Source organism: Homo sapiens, chromosome 9 (assembly GCF_000001405.40).
Source record: "Homo sapiens chromosome 9, GRCh38.p14 Primary Assembly".
NCBI lineage: Eukaryota > Metazoa > Chordata > Mammalia > Primates > Hominidae > Homo > Homo sapiens.
Window position 1 is genome coordinate 33,697,764 of NC_000009.12, and position 23,228 is coordinate 33,720,991.

Here is a 23,228-nt window from a genome sequence, read left to right on the forward strand (position 1 = left end):
AAGAAAGTTATTTTGTATGTATGTGTGTAACTGTATGTTTAAGAGAAATGAACTGTTTATTTACAGGGATTATTGAGGAGCAGAACCTCACTTGGGTAGATGCAGGTGTAACTTTTAAGATCAATATCCATGGCTTTGAATAGATAGGCTAGAGATACAGCAGATTTACTTAGTTCCCCAAAGATGCATGTTGGGTGATACCCACCTATATTAGTTTTCCAATTACTGCAAATTCAGTAGGTTAAAGTAACAATTGTCTTATCTCACAGTTCTGTATGTCTGAAGTCCAGGAAAGTATGGCTGGATTTTTCTCAGGGTCTTATAAGGTGGAAATCAAGGGGTCAGCTGTCTGCATTTTCATCAGGAGATTGGCTACTCCTCCTAGATTATTCCTAGTACTGGTAGAATTTGGTTCCTTGTGACAGCAGGTCTAGGGTCTCCATTTTTTATTGGCTGTCAGCTCCTTGCAGTTTCTTTCTGGTCCCCTTGATCTTCAAATGCACATCAAATCTGTCTCATGTTTAAAATCCTGTGATACCCACTTCTGCTTCAAGACAGAAAACTCTGCATTTAAAGGGCTCTGGTGATTAGGTTAGGCCAACCTGAATAGTATTTATTTTGTCAAATAATGTAACATAATCGCTGGAGTGACATATCATATTTTTAGGTTCCACTCATGCTGAAAGTGAAGGACATTATACATGGGCATGAGTCACTGGAGGTCATTCTTGGAATTCTGCCTACCATACCAATGGAGATCAAATGCCAGGAAAGTCAGGAATAGAAATTCAGAGAGCATACAATCAAATATATTAAATTAGAATTCAAAACTATTCAAGAGATGGTTCAGAGTTTTGGCCAAGCAGTGGATCAAATTTTCTTACTACTGCTTAATCAAGGATACAGTACAGAAGTAAAATGAATTGATCTTTATTAAAATGGAGCAAAGACCAGGTCTAGGAAGGAAAGGCAAGAAGGTGGAATAGATTTGCTCTTACTGGAAGAACACTGGAGATTCAAGACAAGAAACAGAATTGTTTTAGTCCCTGAGTTAACAAATAAAAGAAAGATGAGACCAGAACAGTTGTCAATGAAGGAGCAGTGAAGTAGAAAGGAAGGATGGAGTGAATGTGGAGAGCACTTTTCTGAAGAGAATAAACTTAGTTGTCAGATGAAAGGAGATTTATAATTAGCTTTGTCCTTACAAATTTTGAGGTAACTTACCATGGAAATACTTTTTCTTATCAGTTGATTAATCTGGGGGGAGGTAGCATAATCCTTTGAAATTCCAGTGCGTAGAAAACTAGGCTCGACCTCAAGATGAAGCCTCAAAAAAGAAATGTCTGTTAGAATCCAGTTAACAGGAGAACACCTACTGCGACTTTATTATCAGCAAGTTGGTGAAAACTTCCTGAAGAAGAAATGTGGGATGATACAGAAACTGATTAAAGTCTCAGAACAGCAAATAGTTTCTCCTCTTGTGAATTAATTCACCTTCCACAATTAAACAGAGATAACTCAGGGTACCTCAAATACTGATGAGCTTGACAGAAATGAATTGCCACCTAATTCCATTGATGGAGAAAGATAAGACAATGAGCAAAGAAAAGGGACTTTCAGAGAGAAGAATTGTTGAGAAGGTAGCAGTCCTTTCTCTTTCCATGAGGTAGTTGCTATTCATTACTCTGTGATGGGGACTGGGAACACAAGAATCACCACTTAGGGATTAATGAATTCAAGATCTGTACCTTCCATTTTGATCCAAATTTGAACTTAAATTTATTCAGGACACCAACTGAATACTTCTACCTAAAGGTAAAACTCATATCATATTTCCCTCCCAAGCTGCATTTCCTCTGAGTTCCTGACTTGACGGAGTCATTTATTTGTACAATATATGAACGCTGAGAGTTGTGCCACATTTCTCTCTCTTTTGCCCTGGACATCCAATTTTTATGCAACACTTTCATTTCTAACTCCTAAATATCTTAGTTTACTATCTCAATCACTGCAACCACTGACATGTTTATGCCCTTTTTACTAGCTTGCCAAATAAATATAAAAGAGCTCATTAATCTCTCTAGTTCCTTATTAATCCTCATTTCATCTAATCTAGTATTAGTATTATACCCAAGTATAATCTTCCAAATTGCAAAAATCTGTTTCTATCACTCTTTCTGCAGCATCCTTCACTGGCTCCCCCATGGTCTACAATATATACAATCTAAGTTTTAAAAAGAAAAAAACTTATGACTATCCCTTATTTTGAAAAAAGGAAAATTAGTCCTTTACTAGAAAAATAGCACTGTATTATAATGTCAAGTTCACACTAGAGTCTACGATGGTGTCAAAGAGCTCTATATTTTTCTTCTTGAGTCACTTTGATATCCTCCCACAGTAAGACCATTACAGTTGGTGTATTGGTCTGTTCTCACACTGCTATGAAGAAATACCTGAGGCTGTGTAATTTATAAAGCAAAGAGGGTTAATTGGTTCACAGTTCCACATTGCTGGGGAGGCCTCAGAAAACTTACAATCATGGTGGAAGGCAAAAGAGAGGCAGGCACCTTCTTCACAGGGTGGCAGGATGGAGTGAGTGCCAGCAGGGGAAATGCCAGATGCTTGTAAAACCATCAGATCTCGTGAGACTCACTCATTATCATGAGAACAGCATGGGGGAAACTGCTCCCATGATTTAATTACCTACACCTGGTGCCACCCTTGACACGTGTGGATTATAGAGATTATAATTCAAGGTAAGATTTAGATGGGGACACAGAGCCAAACCATATCAGTTGGGTACTGAGAAGGACATACTGTATTAATCATGCCTTCTTATTGTCTGTATTTTCTAATGTTTTGACATCCATATTTTCTGATGTTTTGACATCTGGGGACTTGCTGATCTTGGAGGGACTGACCCTCTCAGGGTTAACTCATTCCTAGGGGTAGCAAACTGCTTTCCCTAGAGCATGCCTTTCATATCAAATCAACCAATCCAAACCTCTACTCCAACCCACCTTCTTTATTGGGCTCTCATACTCTGAGCCCCTATTCTCCTACCCTAATTACCACAGGGCCAGGTACTAAACAACTTGAGATAATCCCTACACTTTGTAGCCTGCTCAAAAATTTAAACCAGCCAATGCTAAACCTATTTAGCCTGTGTACCCTGCCTCACTCATTTGTTCAGTGAAAACCACAATAAAGTTTCTTGCCAATGTTTCCTGTCACTCCTTCTATCTTCTGACCCACTGTTGTGATTCTTATTGCTATGATTTTTTTCTAACTTGGTCATGAGGTCTCTCTTTTTAGACTAGCCATAAACCAATATAGCCACTCTCTAGGAGACCTCTGACTCAGGGGAGGGGGAGTTAGATTCAGGTGTGAGTGTCAGGTGAGACACAGTGGAGGAAGTGAAAACAAAATGCATGAAAGGAAGAAATTTATTACTCACAGAACCCAAAGAGGTTAGAGAGGCCCAAGAGAAGTGTGAAGATGGCACGGAGCTCATCCAGTTGAGGAGGGAAGAGAGGGCACAGGCAAGGGCAAGAGGGGGTGGGTGAGGGCCGGTGGAACTATTCCTTAGGCTTTCCTATGGGGGTTATGGGTCAGCTACTTTAAATGTTTCAGAAGGAGGAAACTTACTTGCAGGACTCTAGCATTGGCCATTAGGCTTTATCATGGTCAGCAGCTCTGGAGTGTGTTGGGTTTTGGGTCAGGGGAATGAGAAACAGACCATATAGCTGACAACCACACAGGGAGAAGTTTTAACTGGGTCAAAGATGACAGAGTATGACTGGGTTTCAAATAATTTGTTTCAGGCCTTAAAAAAAAATTGGGGCCAGGCACAGTGGCTCACATCTGTAATCCCAGCACTTTAGGAGGCTGAGGCAGGTGGATCACTTTGAGGTCAGGAGTTCTAGACCAGGCTGATCAACATGAAGAAATCTCTACTAAAAATACAAAAATTGGCCAGGCATGGTGGTGCACACCTGTAATCCCAGCTACTTGGAAGGCTGAGACAGGAGAATTGCTTGAATCTGGGAGACAGAGGTTGCAGTGACCCAAGATCATGCCACTACACTCCAGCCTGGGCGACAAAGCGAGACTCCATCTCAAGAAAAACAAACAAACAAAAAAACTGGGCCTGTGTGGCCCTGCATAGTGTGTCATGCCCCTTCTTCTTGGGAACTGTAAGTAACAAACTGTATTTTCAGTGGCAGCTGTCTCCTGATCCATTAGCTCTACCATACCTGAATAATAATAGCACTCATATTCTAAAACACTTGCTTCTTATGAGTAGGAAGAATGGGTCAGTGCTTCAGAATCCCAGACATGTCCAAAGGAAGAGGTGAAGAAAACCAAATGACCAGATCATACCCAGCCTGATTGAAACACACACAATATAATCACCCCTTTGTCTCTATGTGTTCACCAACTCTGCAAGTACACCTGTGTATAGTATGCTGACAAGCTCTGTCTTCTTCAATCTGCTAAATCGTTTTCTACTTTCCTACATTGCTGTGGGCCAGGAGAGCCCTGGATGTAATGGAAAGTGGGGAGGGGTTAAATCCGTCTAGGAAGGAGATGGATGGGTAAAAAAAAATTGTGTAACATATACAAAGGTTTCTATGATTACAAGCCTACTATGAAATCCAGTCACACCTACCACTCACAGTCCCACTTACTTTGCTCTAAGCAACACTGATCTCCAAACATGCTGTGCATAGTATTTCCCTTACACGGCACACCTGCAAATTTATTCTGCACTTTCAAATATAACTTAAAACAATAGCACTACATGAAATGTGCCATTTTCCCAAGAAGATTGTAGACTCTTTCCCCTGTACTCGCCATACCTTACACAATTCTCCCTTTCTGCAAATACCAAATTATGTTTCTTGGTATAGTGATCTTCCCATGGGCCTACAAAATCCATGTGGTCAAATGACATGCCTTTCCGTTATTCCTTCCCTAGAATCTTCTCCTATGCCTGACATCCATGTTTAATGAATGATCAGACACAATATAGGAAGAGGGATGCTGACTTTTATGTTTATGCCTCTATTCTCAGGATCTGAAACAGCACCTGATATTTAACAGGTGTTCACTATGTGTCTGTTAAAGAAAAAAAAAAAACATTAATGTCTACAATGATTTGATCCTGGGTTTGCCTCTTCTCTCCTTCTTCCTCCAAAGTATATTCCTTAAATTTAACAACCCTTGCCTTCCTTTTCTGTCTAAGGGCTACTGGTAGGTAGGATAATGACTCCAAAAGCTGTCTATGTCCTAAACCTCAGAACCTGTAAATATGTTACCATACATAATAGAAGATAATTAAGTTTGTAGATAGTTTAGTGTGCTAATTAGCTAACCTTGAGGCAGGAAGATTATCCTGACTTATGCAGGTGGGCTCAGTGTAAACACATAGGTACTCAGAAGTGACTATGGTGAGAGTGATGTGAGAACTTTACCTGCTGTTGCCACCTGAAGATAATGAAAGGGGCCATGAGTCAAGGAATATGGGAGGCCTCTAGAAGCTAGAAGAGAAAAAAAAAAAACAAAACAAAAACATATTCTCTCCTAGAGCCTCCAAAGAGCAAAGTGCCAATGAGACCCATCCTGGACTTCTAACCAAAAGAATTGTAAGATAATAAGTTTGTGTTGTTTTTAAGCCACTAAGTTTGCAGTAATACGGTACAGCAGTAAGAGAAAACTATTATAAGGCTCTATTTCGAAGCAGCTGAAAAAAGGCAGCTGATGAAGGAAGTCGCGCTGGGAAGTAGCCTAAGAGGCAAAAGTACAAAGACAGGAGTTTGAATCAGATGATGCCACTTTTAAGGGTGGATTTGTCAGAGACATATGAACCAGAGCAACTCCATCTTAAGTAGGAGCTGGGTAAAATAAGGTTGAAACCTACTGGGCTGCATTCCCAGATAGTTAAGGCATTCTAAGTCACAGGATGAGATAGGAGGTCAGCACAAGATACAGGTCGTAAAGACCCTGCTGATGAAACAGGTTGCAGGAAAGAAGCCAGCCAAAACCCACTGAAACCAAAATAGTCACAACAGTGACCTCTGGTCATCCTCCCTGCTACATTCCCACCAGTGCTGTGACAGTTTACCAATGCCGTGACATCAGGAAGTTACCCTATATGGTCTAAAAGGGGGAAGCATGAATAATCCATCCTTTGTTTAGCATATAAACAGGATATAACCGTAAAAATAGGCAACAAGCAGCCCTCACGGCTACTCTATCTATAGAGAAGCCATTCTTTTATTCCTTTATTTTCCAAATAAACTTGCTTTCACTTTATGCTATGGACTCCCCTTGAATTCTTTCTTGCTTGAGATTCAAGAATCCTCTTTTGGGGTCTGGATAAGAAGCCTTTCCTGTAACAGCTTTCTGGTGATTATGAAGAGACCGTAGTGAGGAAACCCCGGAACCAAAGGATAACTTTGGGTAAGTGTTGGGGTCGTGTAACATCTTCCTGGCAAACCCTGAAGGGATGATACTAAGGAGACCTCCCCCCAACCCAAGGAAATAGACTGCAGCACTGATTGGACAACTTTGGATAAGTGGTGGAGTACCTACTCAGGTAAAGAATGGGATTGGGATAGAGGCCCAACTTAGGGGAGTTAGAGTCTCTCCTAAGACAGAGTGGGTTAAAGGCCCCTCTTAATAAAAGGCAAGGACACTTGAATGACCTTGGGTTAGAGGCCCAATTTAGGAGGATTAGAGTCCCTTTCTAAGATTTAGGGGGTTAGTGGCCCCTCTTAGAAAGGTCACTCTGGGTAAAGTCCCTTTGAGCTAAGAACGGTATGTTAACTGCTATTCTCTTTGGATTAATCTGCCTTGAACTCCTTGCTGACAGCTGTGGGTAACAGGATTAGGCAGGTACAGGACCATTGGACATGGGGAACTATTTCTCCCTAAAACGGAAAACTTGAGAGCTGATGGGACTGCTGGAAAAGATCCTTCACAACTATCAAGCGGCCACCTGAACTGTTCAGTGTCACTGCAATGGGTGGGTCTTTCTCTGATCTCTCTGAGTGCCTCCCCTTCCCCACCCTGCCTCAGGCAATGCTTTCCTCTTTCTGTCTCTCCCTGTCTCTCTTTCTCTGTGCAAACTGGTTGAATTAATGGTAAAAAATCACTGTTTATCTCCTATAAAGTTTTGATTAATGGAAGAAAGGATTTTTGATGCTAGACTTAAGCTGCAGCAAATCTGATGTGCTTTGTGTGTTTTTCTGTATTATTCTGTCATAAAGAGGGGTACCTTATGATAGAACACTGGCTTAGGACGCTTTTCAAGGCAGAACAGCAAACTGGTCTGTTACAAACTTTGCTGCAGTTTCCTGAGAAAAACTGGATGAGTTTTTTTCTTGTCTTGCATGTCCTTGGGAACTTGAAGCTGTAAGCATGTGGCCATGTTTTCTCTTTTCACAATGGCATCCTGTGTTCAGGGTTCAATTTCTGCCTCGGGATGAATTTTTTTTATCTTCTTCTGTGTATGTATTTACATGTATTATGTGTGTGTGATGTTTATTTCTAAAACAGCATTGATTAATGGGTTTAATGAGAGCTTAAATCAAATATTTTGTCAGAAAAGTAAAAAGTATAATGCCTTTTAGTTCATGTGACTTAAGTAATTTTCCAGAAATAAAGACAGTTTTAAAGATTATCAGTAAAATAAAAATATCTTCAAAAATGTAAACATTTGGCTTAAATTAGGCAGGTCAGATATTAAGATTGCTAAATGCTTGAAGGTCATAAACTGCTTCTTTAACTTTTGAAAGCTGTTCAATTTACCTACCTTGAAGCCATTAGATTCTAGATAAGACCTGGGGACCTGCGGAGTTAGCCACGCCCCCTAGCTATGCTGGAGTCAGCCTTTATCTGCACTTCTGCCTGGTGTATCCCAGGCTAGGCTTCACACCTAGTACATAATTAAAATCCCAAATTTAGCAACTTTTGGTGAAAAACCTTGGTAAGAGTCAACATTATAACATGTAATTGATACTACTGAAGAAACAGTTTTATATGCAATTATGTAAAGAAAGTGAAATGGCCAGGTGCGGTGGCTCACGCCTGTAATCCCAGCACTTTGGGAGTCCGAGGCAGGTGGATCATAAGGTCAGGAGATTGAGACCATCCTGGCTAACATGGTAAAACCCTGTCTCCACTAAAAAAATACAAAAAAAAAATTAGCCGGGCATGGTGGCAGGTGCCTGTAGTCCCAGCTACTTGGGAGGCTGAGGCAGGAGAATGGCGTGAACCCAGGAGGCGGAGCTTGCAGTGAGCCGAGATCACGCCACTGCACTGCAGCCTAGGCGAAAGAGCGAGACTCTGTCTCAAAAAAAAAAAAAAAAAAAGAAAAATATTTTTAATTAAAAAAATATAAAGTCATGGGAATTTAGATTTTTGCCTAGATTAAAGCATTAAAGGATGGTTTCAAGTTAGGATGAAGCTGACTGTTCAAGAAAGCTGTGGAAGGGTTGTGAAAAAATAACTGTAAAAGAGATTCTGTGTGCAAACATTGGCTAAAATTAAAGGGGTATTATTCAGTTTTTCTGGAAACTGAACATTGGAATAAAAGCACTACTCTACTCTTTAACAAAAACTTGTAAAGGGTTATAAAAGGTTTATAAAAACCTTACCTTATGGTCAATATGATTAGGATTGAAGACATTTGTCTATAAAGTTTTACTAAGAATTGGGTTTGACATCAATAATGCACAAATGCAACAGTGACATTTGGCTTATTTAATATTACAATAATACAAGAAGCATTATCAAATACAAAATGGCATTTGGGTTTCTTTGGGCTGTATTTGTATAAATGTGTTACTGGTACATGTTCCAAAATTATTTTTAAAAATTCTTTAATCCTGATATGACTTAGTGTATGTTATTAATAATTGTTCATTAAAATCATTGTGTCTCAGAGGCAACCACATTTTTCTAGTCAATTTTGGCTTTAATTGTGGCTGTCCTAAGACTTTTGGTCATCCAAAAGTGGTCTTGTTTTGGTTCTCTTTAAAAGGTGGTTTAGAATTAACTGTAGGACTCTACTGGTGCTTTTAAATGCAGATTTCTGATAAGTTTGGACATTGTGACATCAGAACAGAGGGAAACCTTTCAGGACTCAGGGAGAGCTAAAATGTTCATAAATATCAAGCAGAACAGAAGTTAACTGCATGGACTAAACTAGCAAAAGTCTAAAGTAACCTTTTTAACTTTTTGTGTAAAATGTTGCTGATCTTTTGTGTTTCAGAGTCAAGAAAACTTTTGAGCTATTATAGCTTTTAGCAATTGAGTAAAGTATACTTGTGTGAACAAAATTGAGAGCATATTTTTTTCTTTTTACCTGATTTCTCTGGATTTTGTAAACTAGTTGTGAGTATTCTTAATTTATGGCAATATAGTTATTTGCATGAGTGTAATAAGAATCTGTTGGGTTTTGTTTTGTTTTCTTTATTATTATTATTATTTTTGGCAACAAGACACAATTGGAGAAACTGATTATTTTACGAAGACTTTGATGGAATGGTATACTCTCCTTTAAGGAATCAAACTTGACTTGCCAAGTCAATAAAAGCCCCTTGGAGAAATGGCCTCAGACCTTTGCTACAACAGTCCCTGTACGTGATTTCTGACCTGTGGTAAGTAAATAATGTCACCTTCTAACAGGTCCAGGAGCCCCAAGTTATCTTGGGACCCCAAGAGGAGAGGAATTTACTAAACTCATAGGTATTTGAGGGTACAAACCCATGGTAGGGCTCAGCTCAAAAAGAGTCTTATCTAAGATTCCTTCTAAGAAACAAAGTTTCATCAAAGCCAGTGTTAAAAGTCTATGTGAAAAATAATTATTCTTGCTGTACTTTATACAAATAATCAGGCCAAGTATAATAAAGCAAATTAGTCTCACTATGACTTATCTTTAGTGAAAATGGAAAACAGGAGAGAGAATATTATGTTTCAAGACCTATGTTACACTTGTTATTAAATTCTAGTCTCATCAGTTGTTAAGTTTGTTTCTGCAGTTTAGGCTAACCCTGCTTCTTCCTGTGAACCAACCGGTGATCTTTGTTTGCTACTCTGAAAAAACAAGACATTTTGGTAATGTAAAAATCTGGATCAGTATTCTAATTCTGGGCATGTATTGGAATTGGCTAACCACCTCATGTCAGCTTGGTTCCAGTAGTTGCCCAGTTCATGAAGAGCCTTATAATTTAGTTTATTTGGGATAATTTTGCTTATTTTGTTATATTGCTGTTTTACTCTTTGTGTAGGAATGCAGACTAAGCTTGCTAAATGTTTTCTTAAACTAAATACTTATTAGTCTTTCAGATATCACCTTTCATCAGGACTCAAGAGTTCTGAATGGCCTTCATCATACTGAGGCTTTCTGACTGAGCTCCTCTCTACCCTGAACACAGAGACCCTAATAGTTAGGCAGGAATATCATTTCCCCTATTCAGCCTGAAGAAGTTACAGAAGATGAATCTTTGTCCCCCTACAACCTTAGGATTAAGGGTTCTCTTATAAAAGGGAGGGAGGAAATGTCTAAGACATGTGAACTAGAGCAACTTCATCCTGAAGAGGAGCTGAGTAAAATAAGGCTGAAACCTACTGGGCTGCATTCTTAGACAGTTAAGGCATTCTAAGTCACAGGATGAGATAGGAGGTTAGCACAAGATACAGGTCCTTAAAACCTTGCTGATAAAACAGTTTGCAGTAAAGAAACCAGCCAAAACCCACCAAAACCAATATGGCCACGAGAGTGACCTCTGGTCATCCTCACTGCTACACTCCCACCAGCGCCATAATAGTTCACAAATACCATAGCAACATCAGGATGTAACCCTGCATAAATAATGCACCCCTTGTTTAGCATATGATCAAGAAATAACCATAATAATAGGCAACCAGCAGCCCTCAGGGATGCTCTGTCTTTGGAGTAGCCATTCTCTTATTCCTCTACTTTCTTAATAAACTTGCTTTCACTTTACTCAGACTCCTCATAAATTCTTTCTTGCACAAGATCCAAGAACCCTCTCTTGGAGTCTGATTGGGACCTTTTTCTTGTGACAGATTCTGCCAGTTTCTGTTCTTGGCAGGTTCCATTTCTACAAATTCCTCATCTCTATAGGTTTAGGATCAGAATGTTCCAGCAGGGGAGCATTACAGCTGTTTCAATCCTCAGGGAGACTACTCATCTTGGGAATAATTCCTTCCTGGAGTGATTGGAAAATAATTCCTAAAAGAAATTGAAAAGTCAAATTGTTGAACGGTAAATTCACCATCACGTTTACCATAAAGCATGTAGAGAAATGGAAATAGTTACACATCATGGTTGAGAGTGCAGGATTTGCAGTCAGACAGTTTCTGGCACTTAGTAGCTTTAGAAAGTGACTTAAGCCCTCTAAGCCCTCAGTTTTCACATCTATAAAATGAAGTAAATAATATAAGCCTCTCAGAAGTGGAGTGAGCGTTGAATGAAATAGTATGTGAGTAGTTTAACGCAGAGACTGGCACTGACATAAGAAACTATTGTGATAGAAGCAGAGCAGAGAAAATATTTTGAATAGCTGTATGCATGGCAATTTTTTAACCTCTTTATTCGTGGCAACTCATTTAATTGCCACAACAAACTAAGTACTTTTATTATTTCCATTGTTATGGACTGAGCTATGCTACCCTCTTCATTTCATATGTTGATGTCCTAAGTCCCAGTGCCCCATAATGTGACTATATTTGGAGACACGGTCTTTACATGGATAATTAAGTTAAAATTAGGTCATTAGGGTGGGCCCTAATTCAATATGGCTGGTGTCCTTATCAGGTTAGGACACAGACATGCATAGAGGGAAAACCAGAAAAAAGGTATAGGAGAAAAAATGGTTATCTACAAGCCAAAGAGAGAGGCCTCAGAGGAAGCCAACTCAACAAATTTTAAAATATGTATTTTGGAGAACAAAATTATTAGAAAATATTTACAACAGAAAAAAAAAATTTCTTCTAGAACTGAGCTGGTCTAAAGGTGCATATCTTGGTAAGGCTCTGTGAAGAAATGACCTAATCTGGAGAGAAGCTGTTGGGACACTCGTCTGTGTGTGGCCTGTGGCTCACAGGGGTGGGTATTCTCAGAAAGCACATGGGAAAATCACCGTCCTGGTGTGTCCAGGCTCTGGGAACAGGCTCTTCCTCGTGGCTTTCACATGGGTTTCCTGGTGGGCTATGTAGTCACTTTCTGCATCCTTCTTTTAAGGGCTCATGAACGTCACAGACCCTGAGATACCGGTCTCACTGTCCTCAACTATCAAATGAGGAGGTTGCACCAAAGAACCCCTAAAGCCCCTCCCACCTCTAATCGCCTATGGGACTGTCCATTCTTCTTAAGGATCATTATAGACACACAGCAGGGAACATAAAGTAGACAAATTCTGAGAAACAGCTAAGAAAAGTACTACAGACCCACCAGAATGGGAGTATAAATTGGGCTTCATCTGCCCCATTGCAACCTAGACTTCCTTTGCCTTATGATTTGGCTCAATGGCATCTGTGACAAGGTAGCTTGAAGTTGACACCAGTGCATCCCTGGAGATTGGATGGGCTGGGCTCAGAATCCCATACATCCTTTACAGCCTTTTTTTTCCTCACCCTATCCATACCCTCACCCTACTAGAATTATGCATGCACTTGTTGAAAACAGCCCTAGCAAAGTAAATCTAGGCTCCTTAGGCCATGATTAAGGGCCCTTGAAGAAGTCAAATTACCTAAGAAACTCTAGACATGCACTCTCCAATATGCAAGCCACTAGTTCGTGTCTACTGAGCTCCTGAATTGTGGCTAGTGCTAATGGAGATGTGCTGTAAGCATGAAATGCACACCAGATGTACAAGACTTAGTATGAAAAAATATATTAAAATCTCATTAATAGTAAGATTATTTTTATATTGAAATGATAATTGTTAATATTGGGTTAAATAAAATATAGCATTAAAATTCATTTCTCCTGTTTTTACCTTTTTAATGAGTCTACTAGAAATTTTAAATTTATGAATATGGCATAGTTTATCTCCATTGGACAGCACTGCTATTTAGAGTATCAAAATTTGGTATCTTTTGTGACAATAATAAATCATTTATCAAGGAGAAATACCCTAGAATTGGACACTCATCACCCATTATGTAACTTCAGCTAGCCTCTTGGTTTGTCCTCCTCTCTCTCATAGAATTAATAAAGCAATCTATCAGGACAAAATGAATATTGTCTTGTTTTTCTTTTTCATTTTTTCAAATCATTGGAGGTCTTTGGGGGGAAAGGTGATAGCAAGACACTAGGTGTGTTATGAAAGCATGAGCCTATGGGCAAGTTTGGATTTGCTTGTTATCCACGACAGGAAATTTTGGCCAGGAGTCAGTTATTCGCCTAGAAAATGAATTGTTAATGTACCTGTGTACTCTTACAGCTATCACAACTGCACTTTGCTGAAATTACATACATACACACACACACACACACACACACACACACACATTTGATTGTTACATATCAATGTTAGGCAGTTTTCCTCCTGGGTGTTTTTTCCTTATCATTATTATCATCATTAGTATTACTTCTCCTTCACTTCTGTCTCTTGCAAACCAGATATTTGTTTCCCTCACACAGCACCTGCTTTAGAAATAAAATAAATTACAGAAAAGGAATTAGTAAACTAGATTTGCTCCTTGAAGTGTATAAAAGTTGAGTGTATAGAGGATGGGAAGGTGAGGGAGTTTGCAATGGTTTGGATGTGGTTTGTCACCACCAAAATTCATGTTGACATTTAAATGCCAGTGTGGCAGTGTTGGGGGTGGGGTCTAGTGGGAGGTGTTGGATCATGGGGACAGATCTCTCATGGACAGATTAATGCCTCCTCTCGGGAGTGAGTTTCACTCTTACAGACTTGGTTAGTTACCATGACAACAAGTTTTTCCTTCTCATGTTTCATCTCTTTGGACATTCCCACTCCCCCATCCATTTTCTGCCATGAGTTGAAGCAGCACAAGACCCTCACAAGATGGGCTGCTCAGTTTGGGACTTCCTGACCTCCAGAATTGTGAGCCAAATAAAATATTTTTTCTTTATTAATTACACAGTCTCATGTCTTCTGATATAGCAACATAAAACAGACTAAGACAGGGTTCTCTAGGGTATGAGAGTATGAATAAAAATTTCTAATTTTCTGGTAATGAAGTATTTTGGGCAAGAATAACATGTATCCAGAAAGAACTCTTGCAATGAGAAGTGTTTGCTGTCTTTCCTTTTGTTCAGGGACACTGTCTTTGGGGACATATTTAATTCCCAATAGAAGGAAATGGCAATAATGTATAGTTAGATAACACCATCTTCGCTTCTTCATGCCCCCTTAAGATGTTGTTCACTCTTCCATTGCAAACATCCAGAACAAGGCAAGCATGGACTTCCTAGATCTGGGAGGAGAGAGAAAGGTACTGGTTGCTACCTAATACCATTGAATATCTCAGAGCTGGGAGAAATTCCACTGAGTCTATGTCTGGAGACAGAAGTGACTGCTCCCTGGTGGGAAGCCAATCTTAGCTCAGTTTGTCACCATATTTCTGGGGGACTACTGCAAGAGCCCCCATCTGGTCTCTCTACCTTCAGATTAGCCCAATCTGAACCACCCTTTACACTGCACTCAGAGGGATCTTCTAAAATGTGAATCTGATGACATTCTGCTTGAAACCCTTCAAATAACCTTCTATACTCTTTAGGATAAGATCTGAGACCCTTAACATGCCAAACAATGCCTTCCATGTGTGATTTTTTTTTGTTATTTCTCTAGCATCACTTTTCACCCTAGACTTGCTGTCCCCGATGAGACACCTATATCTCTTATTTCGGCACTTTAACTGACATTACTTCCCGCAATTTGTTGAGTTCAATCCTACAGACATTTATTGAACATTTATTATGTGTCAGGCATTGTTATGAGACTACCAAGATGAAGAAGACAAAGTCCATGACGTCAAGAAACTTATAACATCTGGAATGTTCTTTCCTACCCCATTTTCTGGATGAACAAACTGGCCATCTCTGAAGTCGCAGCCTAAGTGTTGCAGCAGCCTTAAAGGCCTTTCCGGCCTTGCCAAGACAGAACTGTACCCTGTGCCTATTTCTATAACATCTAGAACAGTGCTGCACAAAGCCAGTATGAGATAAAGGAGCCCGTACCAGAATTTAAACCAATGCACTGCTTTTTTTAATAAAGAAAGACTTGGTTCAAAAAATAATATCAGCTACACTAAACAATGTGCTTAATGGTACTTGCTTGTAACAAATACTTTCAGACCAACAGCTGGCCTCTGGACAGCTGAAGGAGAGAATAAAGAGAATGGTAAGATGTAGAATTTTCAATATATAGTTGCTGAGAATTGAGAAATTTAATAATACAAAAGAAATTTATGGCTAGTAAGCCAACAAAGAAAATAAAATGGGGGCATAAAAAAAATACATATAGGCCAGAAAAGAAAAGAAGAAGGAAACAAAGAACAGATGGATAAACAGAAAACAGATAGCAATGTGACAGACTTAAACCCAAACAGATCAATAAATACATTAAGAGTAAGTTACCTAAACAATCCAATTAGAAGACAGATACTGTCAGATTGTATGAAAAGGGAAGACTCAACTATATGCTGCCCACAGGACACCTTTTTTATTTTTTTAAATTTTAGATTCAAGTGGTGCGTGTCCAGGTTTGTTACACGAGTGTATTGCATGATGCTGAGGTTTGGGTTTTCAATTGAACCCATCACCCAAATAGCGAACTCAGAGCCCAACAGATTATTTTTTAAACCTGGCTCCCCTTCCTCCCTCCCCCAATTTGGACTCTACACTGTCCATTGTTCCCACCTTTATGTTCATGTGTACCCAGTGGGGAAACCTACTTTAAACATAAAGACATAAATAAGTCAAATTAAATAATAACAAAAGATATACCATACCAACATTGATCAAAATAAGGCTGAAGTAACTATATTACTATCAGACAAAATAGATTTTCCAAAGCAAAAAATATATATTATATAATACATATTTATATAATATATTATATTATATTTTATATAATATATATAATATATAATATATTTATATAATATATTATGTATTTATATTATATATTTATATAATATATATATTATATATTTATATTATATATTTATATAATATATAATATATTTATATAATATATTTATATAATATATATTATGTTATATAATATATATTATAATATATATTATATATTATAATATATATTATATAATATATATTATATATTATATAATATATATTATATAATATTATATAAAATATATTACATTATATAAAATATGTAAAATAATGTATATTTTACATATATAACATATATTTTATATATATTATATATTATATTATATATATTTTATATATATTATATATTTAATATATTTTTATATATAATGTGTATATTATATATAATACATATAATACATATAAAATATATACATTATATATAATACATATAATACATATAAAATATATATTATATAAAATTATACATATAATACATATAAAATATATATTATATATTATATACAATATCACAAATATATAACATATTGTATATAATATATAATATCAAATATATAACATATTGTATATAATATATAATATATTGTATATAATATATTGTATCTTATATATTTTATATTTTATATGTATTTATATATACAATACATATCTATTATATGTATATTATATATAATATGTATTATATATTTTATATTCATTTTATATATTATATATAATATATGTTATATATTTTATATATTATATATTTATTATTTTAATAATAAATATATATATTTTATATGTATTTTATATATATATATATATATATATATATATATATATATATATATATAACCAGGGATAATAAGGGTCACTTCACAGTGTTAAAGGGGTTAATTCATAAACACAAAATCCAAAATGTTTATTCCCCTAATAACAGAGTCTCAACATACATGAAGAAAATAAGTGATTGAATTGCAAGAGAAATAAACAAATCTACCATTATACTTGAATATTTCAATACTCCTCTTTCAATAATTGATATAACAAATAATTGATATAATAATTGATAGAAAGTCGTAAGAGTACATTCAATTTGAGCAATGTTATCAACTAATTTGATCTAAATCGCATTTACAGAATACAGCTTCCAACAACAGCAAAACACACCTCAACAACAGCAAAACACACCTCTCTATGCATCTCTATGCATCACCTCTCTGTTCCATTATGCAGTTAATTATGCAATTAAGCAATCTTGTCAGGACCATAATGCAACTGCATTATGCAATTGCATATGCATAATTTGCGGACCAAATTATGTTTAATTGCATAATTGCAATTGCATAATGGAACCATAGCACTGTCACTGTCTGACAGTGCTATGCAATGTGAGACATTGCAAAGCACACCTCAAGATTGCTTGAGGACAGGAGTTTGAGACCAGCCTGGGCAACATAGTGAGACCCCTATCTCTAAATAATAAATAATAAATGAATAAATAAATAAATAAAATTAGCTGGGCATGGTGGCGGGCACCTGTGGTCCCAGCTACTCAGGGGCTAAGGCAGAAGGATTGCTTGAGTCTGGGAGGTTGATGCTGCAGTGAGCTCTGATCACCCCACTGTCCTCCAGCCTACATGACAGAGTGAGACCGTGTCTCAAACAATACAAACCAAAACAAAACAACCTAAAATATTATCCACAATTCCTTATTTGAAACCATAGAAGGTAGATGCTTTAGAATCCAGAAGATTTTTCATATTAGAATAGCACAGACTGAATATTATATAACCTCCAGGAATTCTGGGGCAGAGCGCATCTGCAGTGAAATAGAAGTGTGTCCACAAGGCATGGGATAAATGCAGACTATAGAAAGACTCATAATTATACACTGTACAAAGGCTCATGCCGGTTCAGACCAAGTTTTTGTTGCTAAACGACTTTTTATTAACTTCATGGAAAATGTCCATTGTGAAAGTTTTTTGGATTTCTGAATTATAGATAAGGAATATAGGCCTGTACAGATACATATACATACATATAATTGGATGAAAGTTGGAAAATACAGAAAACCACCAAGAAAAATATTCATAATCCTACCATTCAGAAGTAACCACAAACATTTTGGTATATGTACCATTTTGTTTGCATCTTTTACATATATCAAAGACCTTTTATATATTTATATATGTAAAATATGCAAACACATATTTTTTTTTGCTTATTCCCCCTCCAGAGAAACAGGATTAAATTCACATTTTCTCTTAAATATATAAAATGAACATTTATCTATGTCAGTAAATATTCTACTATAGCCTAATGTCTGTTTTGAGTTTTATTGTATTGCTATTCCTTAATTTATCAAACATTTAGGTTGATTACAATTTTTCATGTTATAAATAACAATGTAATGAGCATAGTTATCCATACAACTTTTGGTGTGTCCTGATTTTTTCCTAGGATAAATTACTAGATGTAGAATTACTGGGTCGAAGGGTTTTCTTTTATCAAAAAGTTTACAAAAGAAACTTTAAAAATATGTTTTCATCAAAAAGTTTACAAAAAAATTGGTAAGTGATTTTCATGCATGAAAATGAGTGCTTATTATTGATTTCACTCATTGTCATTGTTTTAGAGAATTGCCTTATATTTAGAATAAACATCTGTATTCAGAACACGGTCGCATCTTTTTTTTTTTTTTTTTTTTTGAGACAGAGTCTCACTCTGTCGCCCAGGCTAGAGTGCAGTGGTGCGATCTCAGTTCACTGCAACCTGTGCCTCCTGGGTTCAAGTGATTCTTCTGCCTCAGCCTCCCAAGTAGCTGGGACTACAGGTGCATGCCACCATGGCAGGCTAATTTTTGTATTTTTAGTGAGGGTGGAGATTGGGAGGAGGGTGAGAATTGAAAAGCTAACTGTCGGGTACTATGTTTATTACATGGGCAATGAAATAATCCATACACCAAACCCCCATGACAAATAATTTACTCATATAATAAACCTGAACAGGTACCCCCCTGAACCTAAAATAAAAGTTGGGGGTAAAAAGAAGCTGGAGAGAAGAGAGCCTCCCTTCCTGAGGATAATAGCCTTCGTGTATGCCAGACACTGTTATAAGCATTTTACACATTATGGCTCATTTAGTGCTGAACCTGTATATAGGATGTAGGTTGACAAAACTGAGGCACGGAAAGCATAAGTAACTTGCTAAGGGTAAGAAAGATTGTAAGAATAGAAGCAAACACTACTGAAGGGAAGACAACAGCACTCAGACACATTGAGATGAGAACCAAGTAACATTGATTTACAGAATATACAGGCAAATGGGATGCGCTGATAGAGCTCCTTTTATTAAAAATTCTGCAGGAATAAAAGAAAATTCATGGCAACTATGCAGAGAGCTTAACACAAAAAAGAAGAGGAAATATAGTATAAATGGGAAAGTGAAAAATCCATCCTGAAATCTAATATAAGCCTAAGAAACAGAGAAAAAAATCTAAGACAAGTATTTTGTATCTAGAAAAAAACAAAGAAAACATATTCATTGAAACAAAAATAAATAAATACTTAGATGAGACAATAAAATAAGATGGAAAAATGGTAGTTACAAAGCTAAGGAAAAATTGCAGATCAAAACAGCAATTACAGAGTTAAGTAAATTTGAAAGAGCAAGAAACAAAATTAACATAGTCAAATATTAAATTCATCACTTTCAAAAAAGCTTGAGATAATCATAGAAGGTGTGTAGGGAAAAGACAATAAAGTCGAAATGGTTAGGATGAAGATTAAGCTATGAGGGATAGATAATGATCTACCCATGGGTCCTTGTTTCCCCAAAAGAAAGACTACAGTGCATGAAATACAAAAAATATCTACCAATATAAAAGAAAAGAAAGAGCTGGCTAGGAAATTGAAAGGGCTCCCTGGATTCTGGAAAGAAGTGACAGTGCTGGCTCAACTCTGAGACATACTTGATGAATTTACTACACTTCAAAGTAAAAGAAAATAGTCTCATGTATTCAAGAACAAAAAGCAATCCACTTACAATGGTGGGGTAGGGCTGGGAGAGGACCCTGAGAATCAGGCAGCATTTGATGCAAGAAAATAGTAAAACAGTGTCCACAAAGTTCGGAGGAAAAGAAAGTGGAACACAACAATTTCCTACCATACAAGTTCTTGTTAAATCAGATGCAGTAGTCAAACATATAAACACTAGAGAACATAAAACCCGTGAGCCCTTCTTGTAAACGAAAATAAAACAAACTGACCCAAGAGATGAATCGAAGTAGATTTCAGAAATTGATTGGTGTTGGCATCAGAATTCTTCTCATAGAGGGAATTTTCCTTAGAAAAAAGAAGCTTTCATAAGCTTCTGGGGGTAGTACAGAATTCCATACCTTCAGACTTTTCCATATCTGTATATTATTCCTTCTGTTATTTAGTTAATACGTTTCTTTAAACTCACTTTTTAATTTAGATTCATATGTTTATGAAGGAATCTTGCAATCATAAGCCGAAAAGAAAAATTGGCATCACTTACGGTAAATAGAAGGTAGCCAAGCATAAAAATAAATTCGATGAAACAAAAACAACGTTATTAATATAACCAGATATCATTGCCAGCTTTAAGAGGGCCAAAGCTGAAGCTTGCTTTCTCTTTCATAAAAAGAGAGTTTGGTAGGTGTTAGATGTTATGTGCTTATTCTCACCAAACAGACTGTCTTTGACTAATTCATCTTACTACTAAATAGAGTGTATTAGTGCGATTCAATGAAATTTAATGCTGTGTTCTTGCATCACCTTAAATCTCACTTTGGGTGCTATGAGTGGAATTTTTGTGTGTCTTTTCCCTCCTGCAAATTCATCTGTTAAAACCATAACTGCTAATGTGATGGTGTTAGGATGTAGGATGTTTGGGAGGTGATTAGGGAGCAAGAGCGGAGCCCTCACGAGTGGGAGTCATGCCCTCATGAAGAGATTTTGGAGGCTAGCTGAGAGAGACAGAGCTGGACATACTGGCTCGATGGAGCTCTGGGTGTTGCTCCCACAACAGCAACAGCACAGAGCGCTGAACACACACCCCACAGTTCACCATCCATGGCCAGGAGACCATTCAAAACGTGATTGCTGGTTGTCAACTCCAAGAACTAACAGGAGTGAAAACTCACACACACACCCAAGAATGCAGACTCTGCCTGGCACACAGGGAAGTCTGCCCTCGTGCCTGGGGTTCCTTCCTCTGTGGGCTTCCTATCTTCAGAGCCTTGGCTCTCCCTTCCCCTGAGGGATTACTCACCACTTCCCTAACACTGCTGGGCTGCCCTGCTTTGCTGCCATGGAGTCCAGTCATCAGGCAGATTCATTCACATCTAGGCGCCTGAGTGGTACTGGCCACCACGTAATGGAGTGGACATCAAACCGAGAAGTGGGCAACCTGGAATTGGGTGCCAGTCCTAGAGTCCCTCATCAGCCAAAAGAAAATTATCTCGCGAGTGCCTACCTTCCAGAAGTGTCACGGGGAGACCATCAGGTGTGTACCAGAAGCACTTCCTACATTGCAAAGCAGCAAAGAAAGGCAGCCTCTATAGTGGTCTGTAAAGAGTGCCTTGCAGAGAGGACACAGCCTGGCTGATGAGTTTCCAGCAGTAGAGCGTTAGGTGTGATTGAATCTTGGAGAGGAAGAGACTTGGTTCTGTTGAACCTGCTCCATGTTACTCAAAGCACACACCACACACTCTGCCAACAGGTAAAGCTTCGGATGCTACCTGCTGTGTTCTGTCCTCTCCCAGCTGAGCCAGGCCCTGGGAGCCCCCTCCAGGAGCTCCGGGCAAGCAGCCCCTCATGGTCCATGGTGGAACTGCACCCTCAGCACTGGTGAGGGTGTCGCAGGAGCCTGCGAGGAAGGTGGGGTCTCAGTGCTTTTGCACAGGGCGAGTGGAGCTGGAAATGCAGCCCCCAGTGGTTTCAGTTATTCCAGGTATGACTTTTCTCTCTCATCTTGCACCTTCGGACTCTAATTTCCTGTGAGCAATGTGCTGGGAAAACTGGCAGCGGCTCTCTGGCAACCGTGGGGGAAAGAAGCAAAGTGGGGCAGAAGCGGAAGCCAGGGGCAGGGGCTGGGTCGGTCCAGCCAGCCCGCTAGGGCTCCCATGTAGCAGAGATTCCACTGAGAGGAAGCCGGGGCTGGCCCGGCCGGGAGACTCCCTCCATGCCCCGTGTGTGGAGTGTCGGGGCACCCTATATCCTCAAGGTGGCCTTGACCTCTGGAGACAGGTGTTGGCTCCTTGAGTCACCAACAGCAGGGACCAGACTGGGAGGTGTTTTTGGGCGGGAAGGGCTGGGCCAGGCCAGGCTCCAGCAGGCCCCCTTGTGGTCAGAGGGACTGCCTGCAGGATGATGGGCTTGGGGACCAAGGCAGCCACTCCCCACATGGGAGTTGGACCCAGGCTTGAAGGACACACCGTCACATCGATGTCACTCTCTTGGGAGGCCTCCTTGTGACACAAGATGTCCTGGCCCCGGTGTTTTTCTTCACCATATTCCTCCCAACTGTAATTGTGTAGTTCCTGGGGTGCTTATCTCTCAATGTCCATCTCTGTGAAAAAAGCCGTGACCCTCCGGGATAAGGTCTGTTCGTGAGACTCACTTTGTGGAAAGGACATATGAAAGTCTCAGGACTCTACCTAAGAGCTAGGATCCAGCTCAGGTCCCAGCTCCACTGCACCAATGCCCCTCGGTCCGAGGAGAGACTGAGATCTCTGTAAACAGCAGAGATCAGTAATACAGGCTTTGCCCTGCTGAAACTTCCCTCTGAAAGGAAGCATAATGCTTTCAGCCAAGTGCCTGCCCAGAGCTCTAAATAGATAACAGTTTAGAAGGGGGGTGTGATCACCAAGGGTACAGATGGGCTTCACAGAGCCCATAACCCCCACCAAAATTGAATGCCAATGTGTATAGGTGTGTGCCTAGGTGCATTTTCCTCAGGAAAGGTCCAAAGCTTTCATAGGATTCTCAAATGGATCTAGATCACATAGAGAGAGGAGAGGGGGTTGTCAGCAGGAGCAGCCCAGGAGACACTCAGTGAGAATACGCAAGGGTCT

At 38.6% G+C, this 23,228-nt stretch overlaps 1 long non-coding RNA gene across 1 annotated transcript, besides 1 other annotated feature; it reads left to right on the forward strand.

The window, feature by feature from the left end:
• LOC124902143 (uncharacterized) lies at window positions 7,116–13,277 on the forward strand. Its single transcript, XR_007061463.1, has 2 exons — window positions 7,116–7,514; window positions 9,510–13,277. It is a non-coding gene; the product is annotated as an uncharacterized LOC124902143 (long non-coding RNA).
• Window positions 22,331–22,420: an enhancer, noted in NCBI's record as "active region_28300". NCBI's record gives its function as "activates an Ori minimal core promoter by ATAC-STARR-seq in GM12878 lymphoblastoid cells {active_cell/tissue: GM12878}" and the evidence as "EXISTENCE:reporter gene assay evidence [ECO:0000049][PMID:35858748]".